The following is a 23,949-nucleotide window of genomic DNA, read 5'->3' on the forward strand; positions in this document are numbered from 1 at the left end:
GGAGAAGAATTGCACATTCCTCCTCAGTTTCTTAGAAACTTACCTTTGTGCCTGAGTCATTTCTAGTCCCTCTGGACCTGAGTCATATCTGTTCGCTGCTTTGTCAACCTTGTGCCCAGTTTAAGCTTTCGTAGTTGCTCCTTGTATGTGTGTTTTCAGGGTGTGGAGCGTTTTCTTTAAAAACGTCATTGCAAGCCATTACAGAAGAGGAAAGTCACATAGCTACAGAAGACATGGAAAAACAGATTTAGTGCCTGAAGTTTCTAGGAAAACTGGCAGTGCTGACAGCACTTATGATCACGCCCTAAGTGGAATCATCACCTGTGTGTCTCCTGCAGGCTGCTGTTGTCAGGAGGCAGCCTCTCCACCCCCTGCCCCGGCTGCCATTGTGGCTTCTACCCACCATTTTTCCTCCTAGATCTGTTTGGGGAGCACCAGTTCCTGAGCAGGGGCTCTGGCTGGTGGGCCTGTGCATCACCTGACCTAGAAGCATGTGGACAACTGAGAGTGGAGAGGCAGTTCCTGCAAGGAGCAAGGCGTGCAGTGTAGATGAAGAACCAGAAGCCTGGGTTCACTGCATCTCATCTGCCTTGCCTGGCTAGGCTGAAAGCTCCAGGGGCAGACTGAGCCTGCCCAGGCTCTCCAGGAACAGCTGATGATTCCTTGGGTGTCTTGCTTAGTGCTCCTGGCTTGACTTGACCTGGTCTTCTTGGCTCAGAAGCCCCTGCTTATTCGTGGGTTTCTCCAGGGGGCCGGGGAGGAGGTCGCACAGCCTGAGATGATGTATGCGTGCACTTGTCGTATCCCAGGGTTGTATTTCTAGATAATTTATCAGCAAAATGGAGGGGCTGGATGACTCTGCATCCCAGGCATGAACTTCATAACCCAGCAGTGGAAGGATGGTCCCAGAGTGGATGGGGACCAGGGTGGTTACAGTGTGTATGGCAGCTCCCGTGCATAGAAAAGTGACATCGGGCCAGGCGTGGTGGCTCACGCCTGCAATCCCAGCACTTTGGGAGCCTGAGGTGGGCGTATCACGAGATCAGGAGTTCAAGACCAGCCCGGCCAGCATGGTGAAACCCCATCTCTACTAAAGATAAAAAAAATTAGCCAGGCGTGTGGCGCACGCCTGTAATCCCAGCTACTCATGAGGCTGAGGCAGGAGAATTGCTTGAACCCGGGAGGCAGAGGTTGCAGTGAGCTGAGATCGCGCCATTGCACTCCAGCCTGGGCGACAGGGCGAGACTCTGTCTCCAAAAAAAAGTGACATCGAATACCATGAGATGCCTGCTGTTGCCTCTCAGCATCTCGGTGGGAGGACAGCACTGCCAGCGGCTCTGTCTGTTGCTGCAGGGGTGGCCCACATCTGCTGTGTCCACAGTGGTAGCCGCTCACCCACGTGACTGCCAAGCACTTGAAAGGTGGCTCATGAGACTGAAGAACTGAAGTCTTTATTTAATTCAAATGTAAGCAGCCATATGCGGTGACTGGCTACTGTAAGGCGCTGAGCGGTCACAGAGGTTTTCATTTCAGTCTTTCCATTCACACTCAAGTCTCCAGCCTTATCCAAAAGTTCATTGATGCCAAATCTTAGACCACATGGTTCGTGCGGGGAAAGTGGCTTCCAGGAGGCTGATGACCACAGTGGATAATACACCAAACACCAGAACATGGGACGCTTCTTTCTTTCTTTCCTTCTTTTCTTTCTTTTCTTTTCTTTCTTTCTTTCTCTTTCTTTCTTTCTTTTTCTTTCTTCTTTCTTTCTTTCTTTCTTTCTTTCTTTCTTTCTTTCTTTCTTTCTTTCCTTTCTTTCCTTTCTTTCCTTTCTTCCCTCCTTCCCTTCTTTATTTCTCTCTCTCTCCTTCCTTCCTTCCCTTCCTTCTTTCTTTTCTTTTTCTTTTCTTTCTTTTCTTTTTTTTGAGATGGAATCTCACTCTTGTCACCCCGGCTGGAGTGCAATGGCATGATCTCGGCTCACTGCATCCCTCCCGTCCTGGGTTCAAGCGATTCTCCTGCCTCAGACTCCCAAGCAGCTGGGATTATAGGCGTGCGCCACCACCCCCAGCTAATTTTTGTATTTTTATTTCTTTTTCTTTTTTTTTCTTTTTGAGATGGAGTCTCACTCTCCCAGGCTGGAGTGCAGCGGTGTGATCTCAGCTCACTGCAACGTTAGGATCACTGCAACCTCCGGCTCACTGCAACCTCCACCTCCTGGGTTCAAGCAATTCTCCTCTCTCAGTCTCTCAAGTAGCTGGGAGTACAGGCGCCCACCACCACGCCCAGCTAATTTTTGTATTTTTAGTAGAGACAGGGTTTCACCATGCTGGCCAGGCTGATCTCGAACTCCTGACCTCAGGTGATCTGCCCGCCTTGGCCTCCCACAGTGCTGGGATTACAGGCGTGAGCCACCGCGCCTTGCTTGTTTTTCACTTATTTTCTTTTTCTTACTCTCTGCAGGTCTCCTTTTTCTCTAGTACACATGTGAACCCGGCACAGGAACTGGATAGAAAACCTCTCGGCAAGGCCACATAGTCATGCACAGAACAGATGTTTGCTTAGCGCCTGCCCAAGGCCTCACCCTTAGTGAACTTGGGACAGTCCAAGAGTGTCAAAAGCACTGCCCTGAATGCTTTAGATCTAGTCTTTTCTTTGATCCTGAGAATGCCTTTGGAAGGTGTAAACAGCGGCCAGCTCCACAGGGACCAGCCTGCAGAAGGTGGGCTGCGAATACACCTGACCACAGCATCTTCCCTGTGTGTGTGGGCCTGCGTGTGGGTGGGGTGCAGGAGGAAGGGTGACAGTGCATGGGGCGAGAGTGCTTTCCCTTGTTTTTGGCCTGAGCAGGGGGTGCTGGGAGTTGCCATTCGTGGAGGTAGAGGCAAGTAGAGAAAACCAGGAGTTCCCTTCTGTGCAGGTGAATCTTGAGAGAACATTGTCTCGGTCAGGTTCCTAGCAGGACAGACGCACACTCAAGTGAGGATTGTAGGGGGCCTTGTTTGCAGAGGGACTCATTACAAAGGAGGGGCCAGCCCAGGGCCTGCTGCAGAGTGCAGGAGCAGGCCGCCCATGTCCCTCTAGCAGGAATGTGTCAAGCAGGCCACATGGAGGAGTGGAGCCTGCACAGGGCACATGGGGCAGGGAGCGTCCCAGCCTCTCTCCTTCCTGCAGCCCCACCCTTGCTTGCTCCCAGAGGGAAGCTGGATTTGTGACTGGCCAATGTAGCAAGACCCCACCTCTACAAAAATAAAAATACTAGCTGAATGTGGTGGTATGCATCTGTAGTCCCAGCTACTTGGGAGAACAAAGCAGGAGGATTGCTTGGATCCAGGAGTTTGAGGCTGCATGAGCTATGATGATACCACTGCACTCCAGCTGGGCAACAGATCAAGACCCTATCTCTTAAAAAACAACAACAAAAAAACCAGGGAAGTCAGATACCAGGGCAGGAAGGGCACCTTTGGGAAATGAACCAGCTGCGGGGGGGCTCTGTTTGTCACCTGTGTCTGCAGTTCAGGTGAGCCAGGCTGGGTACAGACGTGGGAGATCTCAGCTGCAAGTGACATTTAACCCCTCGGTGCCCAGGTATCAGCATTGACTGGGAGAATCAAAGTCAGAGTCCTGGGCCACCTTGCTTGGTCATATCTCATCAGCCTCCTCCCCTACAGACTGAAGTTAAAATCGAGTTTAGTTTTGCTTCAGAAGATCTGTTTTCCAGTGTTCTTCACGCTTGCATTTCTCTGCCTGGCCTGCTGGAATTCCCTGGTGCTCTTTCTGAACGCTGGCACTGAGGTGTCACTCTGTTTTCTAAATCCTGCTGAGTAGGTCCGCTGGCAGGCAGGTCAAAAAGCACATGGTTGTTTAAAGACTCTGCCTCTGTTTGACCCAGAGAAACCATGATGACATCTGTTTGCTGTGCCACCTTTTTCTTTAATGGGACTGGAAGCAATTTCAGGCACGTTATTCTGTGTCCTTGGTGCATTTTCTCAGGCTGGGTTCTTCCACTGCAGGTTCATTGCAGAAGAGGCCGCGGCTTCTGGGGCCAAGTGTGTGCTCACCCACAGCCCGACGTGGATCATCGACCCCATCGACGGCACCTGCAATTTTGTGCACAGGTGAGCTGAGCAGGGATCGCCTCCATTGCAGGGCTTAACATGTCCTCTTCTGTGAGGTTTTGTCTTTTCAAAAGCAGCATTTTTTAAGGCAGGAATATATAAACAAACCTATAGTACACTCATAGTCTCATCAGAAAGATGATCAGATCTTGATATTTTTAAAATAAGGTTTTCCGTTTGTGAGAGGCTCTTGGAGTATGTTAGGAAATCTGCACTTGTTTAAAAACCAGTTTGTTATGTTAAAAATGTTGGGTTGCATTTAACAAGGACCCCTTGAAGGAGTCTGACTCCCCTCACACCCCACCCCCACTGGAGAAAAAGGTGAGGTTGGGATACAAAGCCTGTGCTGCCCCACAGTGGCCCGGAGCCCAAGGTGTAGAGAGTGGCCTGTGACAGGTGAGACTTGAGAGCCAGCTTCCTGTATGAGAGCAAACCTTGTGGTTACAAAAAGCAGGAGGTTTGGGGAGGTCAGAAGGGCCCGTGTGGGGAGGTGAAGGGAATGGAGCTTCGGGGATGGTGAAGTGACAGGATGCAAAGGTGACAGGGACACGACCACAGGTGTTCTCTGGCAGTGGCAGGTGATGGTGCTGCGCTGCCTGTCTACACGCACAGGTGGCTGGGGGCCTGGGGCACAGAGCATGATGTGGCTTAAACGGAGCGTGGTTCTCCAGCTCTGGAGAACCCTGGAGAGATTCCCATTCCATGGGCGGGTGGCTTGCAGCTCCTGCGCTCACAGTGCACGCCAGCACACTAGGCTGCACGCGCTAAGCAGGAAGGGTGAGCAGAGCCCGGGTGTGGGCTCCTTTATGATCTGCCTCTGATGGCATGTTTATATGTAAAACATGAAGTTATTCCATGCTAAGCACAGCCTTTTTCTAGGTGAGTTGCCTCGAGAATTCAGTTGTGCCTACATAAGGTGACCCTTTCGAGGCAGTGGAGTCGTGCCATCTGGTGCCAGCAAATGTGTCACCAATCTCTCCTCTCATTTCAACTAAAGCATGATCCTTCCCAGGGCTCTCCTCCCCAGAGTATGTCACTGAGTGGAGCCTCATTACTTCTGCCTGCTCGTGGTTCCAGGGTGCTCATAATGGTGACATGGCAGGTGAAGCCCCGTCACATGGTGAAGGCCACACGTCCATTCGAGGGTCTTCAGTGGCTCCAGAGACATAGTTTCCAGTGCTTTCCTGTCTGCACCCCTGGGGGGATCCTGGTACTGGGGAGGTGACTGGGAAAAGAGCAGCAATTTCAGAACAGTCTCCAGAGCTGATCCTGACAGTTCCTGAACCCCACGCTATAGCTGTGGTGATTGTTGTGGTCTGAAGACATCCGAAAGCCACCAGCATCTGCCACTCAGATGGCGCCTGTTCACCCCTGTGCCCACCAGTGCTGGGCCACAGCAGTGGGAGAAAGCTCTCCTGGGCACTGGAACAAGCGTGAGGCCTGGCACATGGTGCATTTGCTCTGGAAGCCAGCGGCTCATCCCAAGGTCCCACACACCCTGGCAGTCAGAGTTGCATTTGTGTACAATTGGTTTTGCATTTTTCCTGTCAGTTTGCAGTACCCAGCCTTTCCTGCCTGTTTTTAAGCTCCAGTGATCTCCCTATAAAGGAAGGATTATTTTGAAGATATTGAGCGGCAATAGCAGAATCACAAAACTGCAGGCAAACTGATCATGAAAACTGTCTGCAGCCGTGGCTGTCCCTGCAGCTGGCTACTGGGCACTCAGGCAGGGATGCTAGCAGTGCCACAGGGTGAGCTGTGGCTCAGAACTGGCCCCCATGGGGAGGCTGTGGTGCCTTCTGGGACCACCTGCCTGGCGCCCCACCTGGGACTGGGTCTGGCCTTTGGGGAGGGCTCTGCTGTCCCTTTAGGTCTGGAGAACCAGAAAACAGATGATTGAGATCCTTCCTAATTGGGCTTCAGAGGGTTGTTGAGTTACATCAGTCTTATGTGACTTTCACAGTGCTGTTTTCTTTCAAGGTTAACTGTCTTACGACATGGTCAGTTTATTCTGTTTGTCTTGGAAGCAGTTAGTGAAACTGTGGGAAGTAGTTTTTAAACAACCAACCCACCCAGAGTGTAGGAAGGTCCTTCTGAGCCTGCGGGGAGCCGCACAGCACACAGGCTCCCGAGAGCTGCCGCTCTTGTTCCAGAGAGTAAACCTTTCTATTTTCCTTTGCAGATTCCCGACTGTGGCGGTTAGCATTGGATTTGCTGTTCGACAAGAGGTGCGGGTGTGGCCCAGGTCCCCAGGGCCCCTCCCTGGGCTCCCTCTGGCCATCCTTCCTTTCTGGCTTCAGCCTCTGTGCGCCTGGTTTGCTGTTTGCCCTGTGCCTTAATCATGACTGGCAAATCCAAGCCTGTGGGTTTCAAATCCGAGAAAATAAACAAGTCCAGACTGGCTTTGGGGTGTGCGGGGTGGGGCTCCGTGGCTGGCCCTTGTCCCCCGTGGAGGGCTGGCCTCGTGTCAACCGTGGTCTATTTGTGACACTGCTGTGGAAGCGGAAGTCTTAAGTGAACGGTCCAAGTGCATCTCCAGCTGACCCCTAGAGCGTGTGATCTCACAAACTAAAAGGAGCACTTAGTTTTGGAGAGCATCCTCAATCCCAATATTCTAATAATTCTTTCTTATCTTCCTCTGGTTATTAGCATGAGAACATAGCTCTTTCATGGTTCCCATAGACCTTCTGAACTACACAGTGTTGTGCGACCTGCATGGAAGGCGTGGGGCTGAGGTTTAAAGCTTATTAAATAATTCAAGCAGCAGCACTGAGAAGAGCCTTAATTTCTTTCTAATTGAAACAGTTTTATTTAAATAGGGCCGAGGGCTGCATGTTTCTCAAAAGCAGCCCTGCTTCAGAGCAGCATTTGTGCAGCTTCACCTTAGTCTCAGCACAGACTCCCTGGCAGGGGAGCTGAGAGAAGTACTTAAGTTGAAGTATTTAAAGTTAAGTACTAAAGTATCTCAAAGTACTTAAGCTGAAGATAAGTAAGAATTGTAATACTGTAATTTGTCTAAGGATGCAATGATTGACGTCTTTCTCTGTTAAATAATATTGTGGTGCCCAGAGTGGGTGGGAGGCTGAGCAGTACTTCAGGGGTTGATTGATGTTCTGTGACTGTGTGAAGGGGCTGCTGGAACAGCTGGCTAGGTCCTTGGCCCTTCTGTGGGTTGGCTAGGGTCTGTCCTATGTTACTACACTGAATACGGGAGCTCCTGGCTTTTCGTGGTGGGCTCCTCCCCATGGGAGTGGGGGACATTCCTCTGCACTCTGGGAGCTCTTCACAGGCCTCAGGAACCAGCCGAATTCTAGGACTGACCTGGTCATGAGGATTCCTTTAAAGCCAGGGTACCGGAAGGGGAAGGATGATGAAATGCTGCCAGACACCTGCAGGCTCTGAAAAAGCGTTGACTGAATGACGCCTCCAACCGCCAGAAATAAACCCTTTCTCTGTAGCTTGGGGTGTCCACTCTAGGGTGTTTGTGCTCACCCCAGGGCCAGCCAAGGCTTTCCTAAGGCATTTGGCCAGGGTGTTTTTTTAATTTTCCAGAGAGGTGAACACTTGGCTAACTTGCTAAGCAAGCATGCTGGCCCTTGTTAACCCTGAGTGGTGAAAAGTCGGTAGAGGAAAGATCACAGAGGCACGCGGCCGTGGGCTGCCGTCCTTTTCCACGCTGACCTCTTCCTTTTGCTGCTTCATCCTGGGAGGCTGTGGTCTGATGCTTTGTTCCCTGATGTGGGGCAGTCGGGCCACTGTTCAGCGCACTGCCTGCTCACGGATCAGTCCCCAGTCTGCGGCGGTGCCTCTTCCTCGCTGGGGCTGTCCTTGGGCTTCTGAGATTCCGCTGGCTTTACAGATGCATTCTCCATTCTTCACACATCAGCAATTTTGAGGATTTCTTGTGGGGTTTGGTTAGAGTCACAAGTAACATTCTTTTTTTCAGCAACAAAAGGGGCCTTTCTAAAAAATTAAGCTTTTTCAATAACTTCTGGTTACTAATACTTGATTATGATGTTAATTTTTAAAGTTTTGTTTGTCTGAATATATTTTAAAATTGTACTTATTTAGCAAAAGCAAGCTTGCTTTTATGTCCAGGTCTCATTTTAAATGCAGGCACTGCTTTTTCTCAGTTCCTTTTGGAAAGGTAATTTCTGTCACAGTGTAATGTGTTATCCTAACGCCTAGCGCAGCCTTCATCTTTGAATAACAATGTTTTTTCCCACATCAAACGAGTGAACCATCTTTGTTTTCTGTCCTGCCTCTGCCGCCCACAGCTTGAATTCGGAGTGATTTACCACTGCACAGAGGAGCGGCTGTACACGGGCCGGCGGGGTCGGGGCGCCTTCTGCAATGGCCAGCGGCTCCGGGTCTCCGGGGAGACAGGTGGGCTTCACAACGCTCGTCTCAGTTTACTTCTGAAATAAAAGTGTGAAAGGAGAATGCCAAAGCCACCATGATGTGGGACGGTGGTGGAGGTCCCTTGCTGATGGTGTCATCTCTTTTTAGGGACATCGTGTCCCTGATGAACTGGAAATGGAGCCAGTTCTGTATGTTAGTGTTTTTGTTCACGTGGCCAGGAGCTTTAAATAACCTCATTCTGCTTTGCGCTCACATCCCTCATCTTTCAGGCTAAAAGTACTCCAGTCGCAGTCACGATTTGGTTGTAGTGGGATTGGGTGAGCAGCCCGAGGCCAGGTGCTTGTTCCCCTCAGAGCACCCGGCACACCTCGGTGGTCCCGATTTTGCCCAGGCACTGCTGCCCAGGTGCAGTCTGTGGCCCCTGAGTGTGCACAACAGTAACTGGCTTCAGCTTCTGTGAGAAGAGCCATCCTGGGGAATGAGTCATGTGAAGAGGCACCTTAGCCCCTCTGCAGTTATGGCCTGCCGTGATTTCCTTAGCCCAGAATCTCAGGGTCATCCAGTGGCTCTGAGAGAGGGGTTCCCATTCCCTGCATACTGCCTGGAACCGCCTGTCCTGAATGGGCCAGTTTAGGTTTTCACTGATTCTTTTCGGCCTTTCTCCCACATGGATGAATCTGGTGATATTTTAACTGCATTGTGAGACAGGTACTGTAGGGAACAGAAGAATGCCAGACAAATGAGAGAAGCCTCAGACTAGCAGCAGCTGCATGGGAGATTTTACAAGCTCCATAATACCTGCATGTCTGGGTTTGAAAAGGCGGAAGTGCACTGCTGCTTGTTTCTGCCTTGTGTGTCTCTGGCGTGGACATCATGCAGGGCCCCCCATCTCATTCCCTGCCAGTTACACTCTTTCTTCTGCTCTCCCATCAGCCTCCCTGCCGCCTCCCCTCTTGACCCACTTCCAGCCTCTCTTAAAAATTCCTTTCCTGGCAACCTTTCTTCATTGTCTCTATTTATTCCTACTTCTTTCCTCCCTGGCTGATGCCTGTGTGCCCAGATGGCCTTCGAGGCAGCGAGAGGAGCTATGGCCATGGCCCATCTCTGCTGCTGTGAGCCCGTGCGGCCAGGAAAGTGGCGGGCCAGGATGGATGAGGTGTCAGGAGAGGGCCCGCCACTGTGTGAGGGACACGAAGGGCAAGATTGTGCAAAGGAGAGGAGGTGGCTGCAGGAGAGCCCAGAGCAGGGGAAGGGAGAAGTCATGGGGGCCTCTGAGGGGCAACCAGCAGTTGGACTCACCAGTTAGAGCTTCTGATCCCAGAGAGGCCTTGGAATGGCCTCTGGCCCTGCCTCACCTTCCCTCTCCAGAAGTGTTTTGTTTGGCAGTGAAAAAAGTAGCTTTAATTACAGCTGTGCGTGCCAGGAGGTGCCCACTCCAGCCTCATTGTGTAACTGGTGGTGAGGAAGCATGCTACTAAGCATGCTCGGGTGAACTTTGCTCTATATTTCACTGGATTATAACACTGAACTCTATTAACATGCTCTTGGCATCCTGGCTGCCCGCCCGTGTAGCTCAGTCAGGCTGCAACTCTGCGTCCTCCCAGCCTGCAGGCTGCTAGCTCAAGCACCAACTCCACTAGGGCAAGGGCTTTGTCCAGGGCCCCTTTATGTGGCCCCCAGTAGGCCTGGTAATTTCGTAGAATGAAGGAAACATGAAGTGCTCATGTTCTGAAACTCATTTGTGACTTTAGAAAAATTCTGATGGATAAAATGCATAGCAGATAGCTGCTGCTAGTCTGAGGCTTCTCTCATTTGTCTGGTATTCTTCTGTTCCCTACAGTACCTGTCTCACAATGCTATAAAATATCACCAAATTCCTCCATATGGGAGAAAGGCCAAAAAGAATCAGTGAAAACCTAAACTGGCCCATTCAGGACAGGCGGTTCCACGTGTTTTCTACCATGGTTGTTTTCTTTCCTATGGGTAGATGGACTTCAGGAGGTGACAGTGCATGCTCTTCAGCAGCACGGTCTCTTGGCACCATGCAGACCCAATTTCAGATCCTGATTCTGCCGCTTTTTTTTTTTTTTTTCTGAGATGGAGTCTTGCTCTGTCACCCAGGCTGGAGTGCAGTGGCACAATCTTGGCTCACTGCAACCTCCACCTCCTGGGTTCAAGTGATTCTTCTGCCTCCCAAGCAGCTGGGATTACAGGTGCGCACCACCACACCTGACTAATTTTGTATTTTTAGTAGAGACGGGGTTTCACCATGTTGGCCAGGCTGGTCTCAAACTCCTGACCTCAAGTGATCCACCCGCCTCGGCCTCCCAGAGTGTTGGGCTTACAGGTGTGAGCCACCACACCTGGCCGATTCTGCCACTTTCTAAGGTGACTAGAACTCGAGCAAGTTCCTTAACCTCTCTGAATCTCAGTCCTCATATTGAAAACGGGGATGCTGATGATAATAAAAATAACCGAGAGGATTAAATAAGTTACGCATATAAAGCACCCAGCATAGTGCCTGGGGCACAGTATCCTAAAATGAGAACCATTATCAAAGAAGAAACTTGAATCTTTGCACAAAACCAATCAAGTCATGCCCCGTTGTTAAAATTAGGACTTGTTTCTGGAGGACACAGTCATTAAAACAAGCACCACTAATCTCTCTCTCTTTCTCCCTCTCTCTTTCTGCTTCCCTTGGCTTCCCCTTTCTTATTTCTATTATGCCTTGCTGGAATATCTTCAACTCACAAGTTAAAAAACAGCACTGGATAGAGGTAAAGGATTAGAAGAAGGCAAGAATTTTATTAGCTGCTTCTTCAAATTCTACCATGCAAATTTCAGACATACACAAAGTACACAGAAAAAGCAAAATGATGCCCCATGACCCCTCACATGGCAGCACGCCTGCTTCGTGTGTGTCCACCAGCTCCCGCCACCCCCAGCTGCCTGGAGCCAATCCCAGGCATCAGGTCACTTCCTAGTCAGTACTTCAGCGTGTCTCCAAAAACAGACTGCTCTCTTACAAATACAATCACATCATCAATATCACTCTCTACCCAAAATGCATCCCTAAAATCAGCAAATAATCCCATCAGTGTTCAAATTTCCAATTGTCTCGTTTTTATGGAAAGTGGCCTCCTAAGGTCATAGTCTGCGTTCTGGGGGGACTTCCTGTTCCTGGGTCAGTCTTTGTTGCCTTTTCACTGGACTGTGCTAGGAAGTACGTATTTTTTATTTGTTTTGTTTTGTTTTTTGAAACAGGATCTCACTCTGTCACCCAGGCTGGAGTGCGGTGGTGCAGTCTTGGCTCACTGCAGCCTCCACATCCTAGGTTCAAGCAATTCTCCTGCCTCATCCTCCTGAGTAGCTGGGACTACAGGCATGCGCCACCACATCTGGCTAATTTTTTTGTATTTTTTAGTAGAGACGGGGTTTCACCATGTTGGCCAGGCTGGTCTCAAACTGCTGACCTCAAGTGAGCCTTTTGCCTCGGCCTCCGAAAGTGCTGGGGTTACAGTTGTGAGCCACTGCACCTGACCATATTTTTAAAATATAGAGTCGATAATGAGTTATACTGGGTTTTTTTTTTTCTGTTTTTTTTTTTCTGAGATGGAGTTTCACTCTTGTTGCCCAGGCTGGAGTGCAATGGGGCGATCTCGGCTCACTGCAACCTCCGCCTCCCTGGTTCAAGTGATTTTCCTCCTAAGCCTCCCAAGTAGCTGGGATTACAGGCGCATGCCACCATGCCCAGCTAATTTTTGTATTTTTAGTGGAGACAGGGTTTTGTCATGTTGGCCAGGCTGGTCTTGAACTCCTGACCTCAGGTGATCCACCCGCCCGGGCCTCCCAAAGTATTGGGATTACAGGCATGAGCCACCACACCCGGCCTCAACCCCATCTCTTAAAAAAATAAAAAGATAACCTTTGCTCTCAGTAACAGTTGACAAGCTTGTTCTATGGGTCATGTCCTCTCTCTGTCACCTGTCCACCTCTGGATGGTTGTGCTGCATCCTCATTGGGATAGCACCCAGCCACTGTGTGCCACGCTCTCACCTCAAAGCCATCATTCAGTCATGGTTCCACAGGTGGGTACAGATTTAACGCCACCACTGTCCTGTGTGCTGATGCTTCTCCAGTCATTCTGGTTGTGTGAAGTACATTCTCTAGTATAGCATTTTTAAAGCTTTTTGATCTTAGGACAAACCCATTCATACTCCTAAAAAAATTACTGAAGGCCTTTAAAACATTTATTAATTCATTTTAAGATTAAAAATTCATTACATTTTAACGTGAATAATATATTTTTATGGGAACTAATCATATTTTCCAAAATAAGAAAGCTTTAGTGAGGAGAGTGGGATAGTTTTACATTTTTTCCAAATTTCTTTATGTCTGGCTTAATGTAAGACAACTAGATTCTCATATCTGCTTCTGCATTCAATCTGTTATAATAAGTTGTTTTGGTGTCTTTTATTATTATTATTATTTTTTAGAGACAGTCTTGTTCTGTTGACCACACTGGAGTGCAATGGTGTGATCGTAGCTCAATGCAGCCCCAACTCCAGGGCCCGAATGATCCTCCCACCTCAGCCTCCCAAGTAGCTAGGACTACAGGTGCTCACCACCATGCCCGGATAATTTAAAAAATATTTTTGTAGAGACAGGGTCTCGATAGGTTTCCCAGGCTGGTCTCGAATTCCTGGCCTCAAGCCATCCTCCCACCTCAGCGTCTCAAAGTGCTGGAATTACAGGTGTGAGCCACCAACCCAGCCTGTTTTTGATGTCTTAAAAAATGTCTAACCTCACATAGATACGTAGTTTAAAAAAGGAGAAGTGTTTTAAATCTCTTTTCAGATAACTGAGGGCATTTTTGTTTGATATCAAACCAAAACTCAAAAAGTAGCAATTTTTTTTGTTTTTGAGATGGAGTCTCACTCTGTTGCCCAGGCTGGGGTGCAATGGTGTGATCCTGGCTCACTGCAACCCCTGCCTCCCAGGTTCCAGTGATTCTCCCACCTCAGCTTCCGGAGTAGCTGGAATTATAGGCACGCACCCCATGTCCGGCTAATTTTTTTTTTTTTTTTTTTGTATTTTTAGTAGAGATCAGGTTTCACCGTGTTGGCCAGGCTGGTCTCAAACTCCTGACCTGAAGTGATCCACCCACCTCAGCCTCCCAAAGTTCTGTAATTACAGGTGTGAGCCACCGCGCCTGGCCAAGTAGAGATTTCTTAAAGGTTAGTTGCAGTGTGAAATCTAGTGGATTTGTTGGTACTCAGTTACATTGAAATCCATTGGGCTATCTTGTACTTTGAATGGATCTTTTGTTCATTGTTGATTTTATAACATCATGTATTGGTCGTTTGGGAAATGGTTTCACTGAGATTTTCAGCGCTTCTAAGTGCTGATGTAGTTTTTAATAAAATACTAAAAATGTCATATTAATATCACCACTCCTCAGGAGAGCTCTTGAAGTGTTGGAAAGTTGTCAGGCTTACAGTGTTAGATACGATTTTTCAAAAAAATAAAAAAATATATATATTTTTGAGACAGTCTTGCTCTGTTGCCCAGTCCGGAGTGTAGTGGCACAATCTCGGTTTACTGCAAACTCCACCTTCCAGGTTTAAGCAATTCTCCTGCCTCAGTCTCCTGAGTAGCTAGGATTACAGGCATGCACCACCATGCCCAGCTAGTTTTTGTACTTTTAGTAAAGACAGGATTTCACCATGTTGGCCAGGCTTGTCTCAAACTCCTGACCTCAGGTGATCCACACGCTTCGGCCTCAAGTGCTGGGATTACAGGTATGAGCCACCACACTCGGCCTTTATTTATTGATTGATTGATTGATTGATTGATTGATTGAAATGGAGTTTCGCTCTTGTTGCCCAGGCTGGAGTGCAGTGGTGAGATTTCAGCTCACTGCAACCTCCACCTCCTGGGTTTAAGTGATTCTCCTGCTTCAGCCTCCCAAGTAGCTGGAATTACAGGCATGCACCACCATGTCTGGCTAATTTGGTATTTTTAGTAGAGATGGTGTTTCTCTATGTTGGTCAGGCTGGTCTCGAACTCCCGATCTCAGGTGATCTGCCCGCCTCGGCCTCCCAAAGTGCTGGGATTATAGGCATGAGCCACTGTGACTGGCCTCTTTTTTTAAATTGTAGAAGAGTTTTCTTGAATTACAGTTTTTAATATTTTTTTTATTTCCCAATTGTGTTGCTTTGTTTTTTGTCTTCTGGGACTTGAATGTATGTTGGGCTTTCACTATCATTTCCTCTTGTACTCTTTTTATCTTTTCCACCAATTATCTTATTTAAAAAAGTTTCCTCTTTTTCACCCTCAATTTCCTGCAAAGCATAATCTCTTGTGTTTATTCATTATGTTCCTTTTAGTTTGTCTTCTTTTCTGAAATATTTCCTTTATGTAATTTTTCCTAAGTTCTGTGACCTGTGATTTGGATTATGCTCTTTTTTCCTGATATTCTTTATTACTCCTATTTTGTGGTTAGATTTCTTTTTTTTGGCAAAATTCTTTTATTGGCATATACATGTTACTCTGCTCCTCACTCTTTTTTTCTTAGGATAATTGTGTGTGGGATTCAACCATAGTTCTTTTTGGTTACCTACTGTTACTTGACATTGGATTCCTGGGCTTTGGGGGCTTGGAGGGCGGGGGTGGGGGCTCCAGACAGCATTTGTAGTTTCATGGTTCTAGAGCTCCCTCTTCATTGTTTTTGTGAAGTATTAAAATATTGGCCTTGTTAGGCGAGGCACGATGGCTCACACCTGTAATCCCAGCACTTTGGGAGGCTGAGGCAGGAGGTTCACTTGAGAGCAGAAGTTTGAGACCAGCCTGGGCCACATAGCAAGACCCCAATCTGTACAAAAAATTTAAAAATTAGCTGGGTGTGGTGGTGCATGCCTGTAGTTCCAGCTACTCAGAGGGCTGACATGGGAGTTCAAGGTAACAGAAGTTCAAGGTAACAGAAGCTATGATTGCACCACTGCACTCTAGCCTGGGAAACAGAGCAAGACCCTGTCTCAGAAAAAACCTCCAAAACAACACACTGATGAAAGTGTAGTCACAGAAGTTATATATCCAACAAAACCAGCTTGTGCCACAGGCATGTTTTATAGGCTTTAAAGCACAACTGCCTCTTACTCTGTGAGTACGTATTTCTTTTTTCTTTTTCTTTTTTTTGAGACTCCGTCACCCAGCCTGGAGTGCAGTGGCTGATCTCGGCTCACGGCACCCTCTGCTCCTGGGCTCAAGTGATTCTCCAAAGCCAGCCTTCCGACTAGCTGGAACTACAGGCACACACCACCATGCCTGGCTAACTTTTGTATGTTTGGTAGAGATGGGGCTTCGCCATGCTGCCCAGGCTGGTCTTGAAGTCCTGACCTCAAAGCGATCGGCGCACCTCAGCCTTGCAAAGTGCTGGGATTACAGGCATGAACCACCACGCCCAGCTCATGAGTACGTATTTCAGTGTACTCAAATGACTTCTCTCATTATTTGAGTTGTAAAGTTTCCCCTAAGACAGCATACTCTTAGCATTGCTCAACCAGAGCAAGGGTTTCCAAACTGTCGGAAGTCACTGGCTATTCATTTTCATCCTAAAATCTGTTTATTGAAAGAATAAACAGAGATGTCCTATTTCAAAATGTATGAGATATTTTTATTGTAGTAAAATGTATGTAAATATGATTTTCCATTCTAATTACTCTTCAGCATACCATTCAATGACATTAATTATAGTCACAATGTTGTACAATCATCAGCACTATATAATCTCCAAAATGTTTGTTCCTACAAATAAGAACTCCACCTATTAAGCAAGAACTCCCTGTTCCCTGCTTCCCATGAAATCACAGAATATTTGAAATTAAAAAGATATACATTAGGCCGGGCCCGGTGGCTCACGCCTGTAATCCTAGCACTTTGGGAGGCCGAGGTGGGTGGATCAGTTGAGGTCAGGAGTTCGAGATCAGCCTGGCCAACATGGAGAAACCCCGTCTCTATTAAAAATACAAAAAAAATTAGCCGCATGCCTGTAATCCCAGCTATTCGGGAGGCTGAGGCAGGAGAATTGCTTGAACCTGGGAGGCAGAGGTTGCAGTGAGCCAAGATCGCACCACTGCACTCCAGCCTGCTGACAGAATGGGGCTCCATCTCAAAAAGAATATATATATATATATATATATATATATTTGTGTGTGTGTGTGCGTTTAAGACCTAAGATATGGTAAATATAGGACAAAGGGTAATAAAATACAAAAATCATAGTAATTGTGGATAACTAGTCAGAAATAATCATAAGATAATATTAAGTAGGGGTTGTCATAAGTTTTTTCCCCCTTATCTGGAGCAAAATCAAACAGTAGAAAGCATTTTGCTTTTAGGTGGCAACATTCAGACCTCCTTTATACTCTGTTCTTTTTTTTTTTTGAGACAGCCAGTCTCAGTTGCCCAGGCTAGAGTGCAGTGGCACGATCTTGGCTCACTGCAACCTCTGCCTCCCAGGTTCAAGCAATTCTTGTGCTTTAGCCTCTCCAGTAGCTGGGATTACAAATGTGTGCCACCACGCCTGCCTAATTTTTTTTTTTTTTTTTTTTTTTTTGTACTTTTAGTAGTGACAGGGTTTCCCTGTGTTGGCCAGGCTGGTCTCGAACTCCTGGCCTCAAATGATCTACCTGCTTTGGCCTCCTAAAGTGCTGGGATTACAGGCATGAGCCACTGCACCCAGCCTATACTCTGTTCTTGATTTCATGTGGGAAAACGTATGTTGGCAAGAATGAGAAGGAATTAATTCAGGGTGGCCAGAAGAAGAAGGTGCTGGATTCAGAGCAAGCTTTTCACAAACAGGAAAACTATGGAAGAAACCCCTGCCTTCACACAATCACCAGACAAGCTTGGGTGTAAGTCTGGCCCCACCATGTAATGGCTCCATGGCCTGAGCAGCTCATGTCGCTTCTCCAAGCTTGGGTTTCTCATCTGTTGCACGGGGCAGTGGCACGTAGGCTGGGAAGTGCTCGCACAGGCCTGTCAGGAAGAGTGAGGACCTGGTCACTGTCAGCAAGTGAAAAATTGCTGTTTCTTGCACACAAATTAACTTCCCTTTGTGAAATACCCCAGGGCACTTGGTTGGAAGATCTCTGTGCTTCCTACACCAGCCCTGGCATGGGGAGTACCTGCCTGTCTAGGCTGGCACTGGCGGACTTTCCTCCACCCACCCGCCCTGTGCTCATCTCTGCCCTCAGGTGTGGGGAGACTGGGTGAGGCCTTTAAGAGTAGGTGCTTATCTCCCAATGGAAATTGATTGCTCAGCTTCCTAGTTCCTGGGGAGAAATCTTCAGTGTCTTCCTTCATCTCTTCCCAGGGTCATTAACACTGGTGCCAGCAAGTGCCCTGTGTGTTAGGATTTCACTGTCCTGATTTTACTGCTCAGAGAAAATCACTCTTAGAGTGTACCTCCAGGGTGAGCCTGCCTGTTAGGGACTTGGAAATAGTACAGGATCCCTCATAGCCCAGTAGGGTTGAGGGGGCGTATGTATAATTGATTCAGCTTTCCCAGAGGGCAATTTGGAAAATTATATCAAAACCTAAAATATGCACACCGTTTGATTCAGAAATCCCACTTGTGTTCATCTATCTCGAAAAAAATCAGTATGACTGTATAAACCTCTATAGAAAAGATGTTTATGAAGCATTGTTTACAATAAAAATGAAAATTGTTCATCTTCAGGGGAATGGTGACATAAATTGCAGTTATTGCACCAGATGGAATAGAGTGCGGCTGTTAAGAGTAAGATACTGATGGCAAAAGATGTATATGAGATGTTTTTATATTGAAAGAGTGAGCAACAGAATAAGCTATAAAATCATTTTTAAAAAGCACTGTGTGAGATGGGTTGATCACCTGAGATCAGCAGTTTGAGACCAGCCTGACCAATATGGTGAAACTCTGTCTCTACTAAAAATACAAAAATTAGCTGGGCATGGTGGTGCGCACCTGTAATCCCCGCTACTTGGGAGGCTGAGACAAGAGAACTGCGTGAACCTGGGAGGCAGAGGTTGCAGTGAGCTGAGATCGCACCATTGCACTGCAGGCTGAGTGACAGAGCAAGACTCCATCTCAAAAAAACACAAAAGCATTGTATGCACTTGTATGACTTGAAGTTGTTAGATGAGTACATTAGAAATAGGGTGGGATTAGACAAGATGTCACTGCCACTTCACTTTCTTGTCCCCCATGGCCTCCTCTGGGACAATTCATTCTTCCTTGATTTTCCTGGCCAAAGTATCATGCAAGCCATCCCATTTTTTTCTTTTCTCCTTCCCTTCTTTCCTTTTCCTCCCTTGCTTTTCTCCCCCTCCCTCCTCCCTCCCTGCCCTTCCTCCCTCTTTCTTTCACTTTGTTTTTTAGAGTAACGGTTTTAGGTTCACAGCAAAATTGAGCAGAAGGTGCAGAGAGACAGAGTTCCTATACACCTCCTGTCCCCACACACGTACAGCCTCCCCATCCATCAGCATCGCGTACAGAATGGTGCATTTGTTAAAATGAGACACATTATTATCACCCAAGGTTCATAGTTTTCATTAGGCTTCACTGTTGGTGTTGTAAGGCATCCACCATTACAGTATCATATAGAATATTTTCGCTGCCCTAAAAACCCCCCATGCTCCGCCTATTCTTCCCTCCCCTGAGCCTCTGGCAACCACTGATCTTTTTACTGTCTCCATAGTTTTGCCTTTTCCAGAATGTCATGGAGTTGGAATCATACGGTGTGTAGCTTTTGAGATTGGCTTCTTTCACCCAGCAATATGCATTTAAGGTTCATCCGTATCTTGTCATGCTTTCTCATTTCCTTTAAGTGCTGGATAATATTCCACTGTCTGGATGTACCACAGTTTATTTATTCACCTACTAAAGGACATCTTGGTTGCTTCTAAGTGTTGGCAGTTATGAATAAATCTGCTCTTAACACTGGTGTGAAAGTTTTATGTGAAAACAAGTTTTCAACTCCTTGGGTGAACACCAAGGGGCACGATTGCTGGACGGTATGGTAAGAGTATGTTTAGATTTGTAGGAAACTGCCAAGCTATCCTCCAAAGCAGATGCACCATTTTGCATTTCCACCAGCCATGCATGCGAGTTCCTGTTGCTCCACATCCTGGCTGGCACTTGTTGTAGTTAGTGTTGTTTCTCCATTCTAACAGATGTGTAGAGGTGTCTCGTTATTGTTGTTTTGAGACGGAGGCTCACTCTGTCACCCAGGCTAAAGTGCAGTGGTGTGATCTTGGCTAACCGCAACGTCTGTCTCCCAGGTTCAAGCGATTCTCCTGCCTCAGCCTCTTGAGTAGCTGGGATTACAGGCACGTGCTGCCATACCCGGCTAATTTTTGTATTTTTAATAGAGACGGGGTTTCACCATGTTGGCCAGGCTGGTCTCAAACTCCTGATCCTCCCGCCTCAGCCTCCCAAAGTGCTGGGATTACAGGCGTAAGCCATGCTCCTGGCTTTGTCTCGTTGTTAATCTGCATTTCCCTGAGGACATATGATGTGGAGCATCTTTCTATATGCTTATTTGCCATCTGTATCTCTTCTTGTGAGTCCAATTTCTATTTTTTAATTTTAATTTAACACGCATTCCCCAGATTACCATATTATTATATTTCAAAAGAGCATTTTTTTTTTTTTTTTTGAGATGGAGTTTTGCTCTTCTTGCCCAGGCTGGAATGCAATGGTGTGATCTTGGCTCACTGCAACCTCCGCCTCCCGGGTTCAAGCGATTCTCCTGCCTCAGCCTCCTGCTAGCTTGGATTACAGGCATGCACCACCATGCCTGGCTAATTTTGCATTTTTAATAGAGATGGGGTTTCTCCATGTTGGTCAGGCTGGTCTTGAACTCCCAGCCTCAGGTGATCTGCCCGCCTCAGCCTCCCAAAATGTTGGGATTACAGGCGTGAGCCATCGCGCCCGACCAAAAGAGCATTTCTAACTAAAATATTCGTAATTCAGAATTAGTTTACCCCCAAAATCAGTATTGTATATAGTATTTAGATTCTTAGATTAGCCAACAAAATTCTGCCTCAAACATTTCTCCCATAAATTAAAATACTAGTAATTTAATGAACCAAATCAAAACAAAGACTCCAATCCTACCTTCTTGAGCGCTGGCATTTGAGGGAAAGCACTCATTCATTCAGTAACTGTTTATCGAGTGCCCACTCAGCCTGGGTCTGCTGATGTCTCTTTCTTTAATGGAAGCCTTCCCCACCCCCACCCCGGAAAAAATACCATCTGTTTGTGGCCAGGTGAGGGTGGGGTTTGGAGGGTAAGGAATGGAAGGGTTGCTGGAGCCTGTCTGCAGATCCTGTGTGGATTAGGGAGCACCTGGAACAGCCGCCTTTTGTCCCAGCTGTGGGTGGCAGCTGCAGGGCTCAGGTGGTATCTGTGGAGGGCCTGCTGCCAGTCCCAGGGCAGGAGTGCCCTCATAGCTCAGCTTCAGTGCTGGGCATGGCCGGCGGTGAATGATCTGGACCTCCTGAGGGCAGGCAGGTTGCTTTGGTGTGGAGCCAGGTGTTTTGCAGAAAGTGCTTTAAGGTGTAAAATGAGAGTTTCCATGGAAGAAAAGGGACACTTGGACCTGGATTCTGGCTGAGAGATTTCCTGGGTGAGCGGAGAATTTGAAAGTGGTGACACAGAACTGGGTCCATTGAGTGCAGTAATGTGATAGGATTTGTTTCCCCCGACTTTGGGAGTGGCTTTATTTTGTCATGGAGCACACCTGGTTTGGCACTGTCCTGCCCGGGCAGTGAGGCCTGACGGGACATGACCGAAGTTTGGCTGTGTTTGGGTGTGTGGCACAACAAGGACAAACTGCTCTGATCCCCAGCAGTGAGTCAGGGACAGGAGCAGAATCCCGGTCACGTCCTGCCCTGAGCCAGGCTTGCCAGCCCTGGCAGCCTCGCCTGCTGTTACATAAACGGCAGGCCATGAATTCCAGGTGTCGGCACCCCCCTGCATCCAGAGGGCTCACTCCTGCAGCTTCCCTTTCCAAAGCAGCATTATTTAAAAGTTGCTTTCTCCAAGAAAATGGTATTTCTATCGTTGCGATTGCAGCAGTTAGACGATTAATGAAGCATTTTTTCCCTCCAAACATTGAGTGTTCCCAGTTTGGAGTCATTTTGCTTTTCTTTTTGGTTGAATGATGGTGATTTTTTTTTTTTTTTTTTTTTTTAAAGAAACAGGGACTTGCTCTGTCCTCCAGGCTGGAATGTGGTGGCGCAATCATGGCTGACAGCAGCCTTGAACCCCTGGGCTCAACCAATCCTCCCACCTCAGCCTCCTGAGTAGCTGCAACTACAGGCCTGTGCCACCATGCCCAGCTACTTTTAATTTTTTTTTTTTTTGCAGAGATGGAGTCTCACCATCTTGCCCAGGCTGGTCTGGAACTCATGGCCTCAGGTGATCCTTGTTCCCTAGCCTCCCAAAGTGCTGGCATTACAGGCACGATCCACTGTGCCCGGTCCATCCTTAGTTTTCAACATAGATATCAAAAAAGCATTCAGCATGAACCAGTCGAAAGATGATCCTTACTCTGAGAAAGAAAGGCTCACGTTGGAAGCCTGTACTCCTTAGTTAGAACCAAGACTTGATTTTTCTGGTGACAGGAAATTCTTTTTATTGCAGATCTCTCAAAGGCCTTGGTTCTGACAGAAATTGGCCCCAAACGTGACCCTGCGACCCTGAAGCTGTTCCTGAGTAACATGGAGCGGCTGCTGCATGCCAAGGCGCATGGGTAGGAGGTTCAGTTCGGGGAACACCCTGCAGCCCGAGGAGGAAGAACGGAACACGGACTTGCTAAAACTCCCCTGGGATTTGAGGAGGAAGCCTGACGTGGAAAGAGTGGGAGGGGCACATGAACATCAGACTCAGGGAAGCCCTGTGAGGGGCCCGCCTGCAGTAGATACTCCTATAGCCAGGCCTCTGGAGATGCGTGGGCACCTGTGTTGCTTCTGATCAGAATCCATGGAACTGACCTCATGCTGCTCAACCAGCGAATGGTGCAAATACTTACAGTCCTTCCCGAGGGGGCCTGGCGTCAGACAGGTTTATCAAAGCCCAGTGAATCCTCTTTGTCTCTTGCCTTCCCAGTAGGGCTGTGCTGTGAGCCCTAGCCATGTGAGACCACTGACACTTAATGTCACGTTCAGTAGAGGAGGATTCAATTCTCTGGTTGCTGCATCTCAGGTGCTCAGTAGCTAGGTCAGCTGGGAGCTGTCATGGCACAAGGCATTTGCGTCTGGCGGAGGCCTGTTGGTTGGTGGCTCCAGGCCCTATATTCAGCCTCCAGAGCTTTGGCAGAAGTGCTGTGCTTCATTTTTCACTAGGGAAAATGCCCAGCCGGGGTACCTGGCTGAAGTCGGCTTGCACACCACAGAAAAGGCTCCACTCCCGCCTGCATCTGTCCTCCCTTCCCTCTCCCCAGGGTCCGAGTGATTGGAAGCTCCACATTGGCACTCTGCCACCTGGCCTCAGGGGCCGCGGATGCCTATTACCAGTTTGGCCTGCACTGCTGGGATCTGGCGGCTGCCACAGTCATCATCAGAGAAGCAGGCGGCATCGTGATAGACACTTCGGGTGAGCTCTCCTGTCCCTGAAATGCAGCGGCAGAAACTAGACTGAGAGACACTGTGGGTGGGGCACTTCCTGAAGTCCCCACCAACTGAATTTCCCACCTTCCCCAGAGTTTCTGTTTTTTTTTTTTTTTTTTTTTTTTTGAGACGGGGTCTTGGTGTCACACAGGATGGAGTGCAGTGGTACAATCTCGGCTCACTGCAACCATCCTACTCACGGGTTCAAGCAATTCTCCTGCCTCAGCCTCCTGAGTAGCTGTGATTACAGGTGCGTGCTACCATGCCTGGCTAATTTTTTGTATTTTTATTAGAGACGGGGTTTCATGGTGTCAGCCAGGATGCTCTTGATCTCCTGACCTCGTGATCCGCCTGCCTCGGTCTCCCAAAGTGCTGGAATTACAGGCATGAGCCACTATGCCCGACCCCATTCCACATTTTTTCTTTTTTTTTTGACACGGAGTTTCACTCGTCACCCAGGCTGGAGTGCAATGGCATGATCTCGGCTCACTGCAACCTCCGCCTTCCAGGTTCAAGCAATTCTCCTGCCTTGGCCTCCCGAATAGCTGGGACTAAAGGCACTCACCACCATGCCCAGCTAATTTTGTATTTTTAGTAGAGATGGGGTTTTGCCATGTTGGTCAGGCTGGTCTCGAACTCCTGACCTCAGGTGATCCACTCGCCTCGGCCTCCCAAAGTGCTGGGATTACAGGCCTGAGCCACCATGCCCGGCCTCCATTCCATATTTTAAAGCCCCCATCACTCTGATTTTACCACTAGAGCACCTGAAGGCTCACGTATGTGCAAGCAGGTCTCCAGCCCATGCATCCAGAGCTGT

General features: G+C 48.1%; 1 protein-coding gene across 2 annotated transcripts in view; it reads left to right on the forward strand.

The window, feature by feature from the left end:
* IMPA2 (inositol monophosphatase 2) overlaps positions 1-23,949 on the forward strand; it is a 49,371-nt gene that overhangs the window by 24,369 nt on the left and 1,053 nt on the right. The window contains exons 1-6 of one of the 2 annotated variants that reach the window (XM_011525659.4): positions 2,463-2,716; positions 4,008-4,112; positions 6,295-6,340; positions 8,390-8,498; positions 22,168-22,276; positions 22,967-23,118. In XM_011525659.4, coding sequence (XP_011523961.1) covers positions 2,535-2,716; positions 4,008-4,112; positions 6,295-6,340; positions 8,390-8,498; positions 22,168-22,276; positions 22,967-23,118 — 703 coding nt within the window. In that variant the 5' untranslated portion in view covers positions 2,463-2,534. Of the gene's footprint in view, positions 1-2,462; positions 2,717-4,007; positions 4,113-6,294; positions 6,341-8,389; positions 8,499-22,167; positions 22,277-22,966; positions 23,119-23,949 lie in introns of those variants that run through there. The other variant, NM_014214.3, reaches the window with a different exon arrangement.

This window comes from Homo sapiens, chromosome 18, assembly GCF_000001405.40.
Source record: "Homo sapiens chromosome 18, GRCh38.p14 Primary Assembly".
In the NCBI taxonomy this organism is placed as follows: Eukaryota; Metazoa; Chordata; class Mammalia; order Primates; family Hominidae; genus Homo; species Homo sapiens.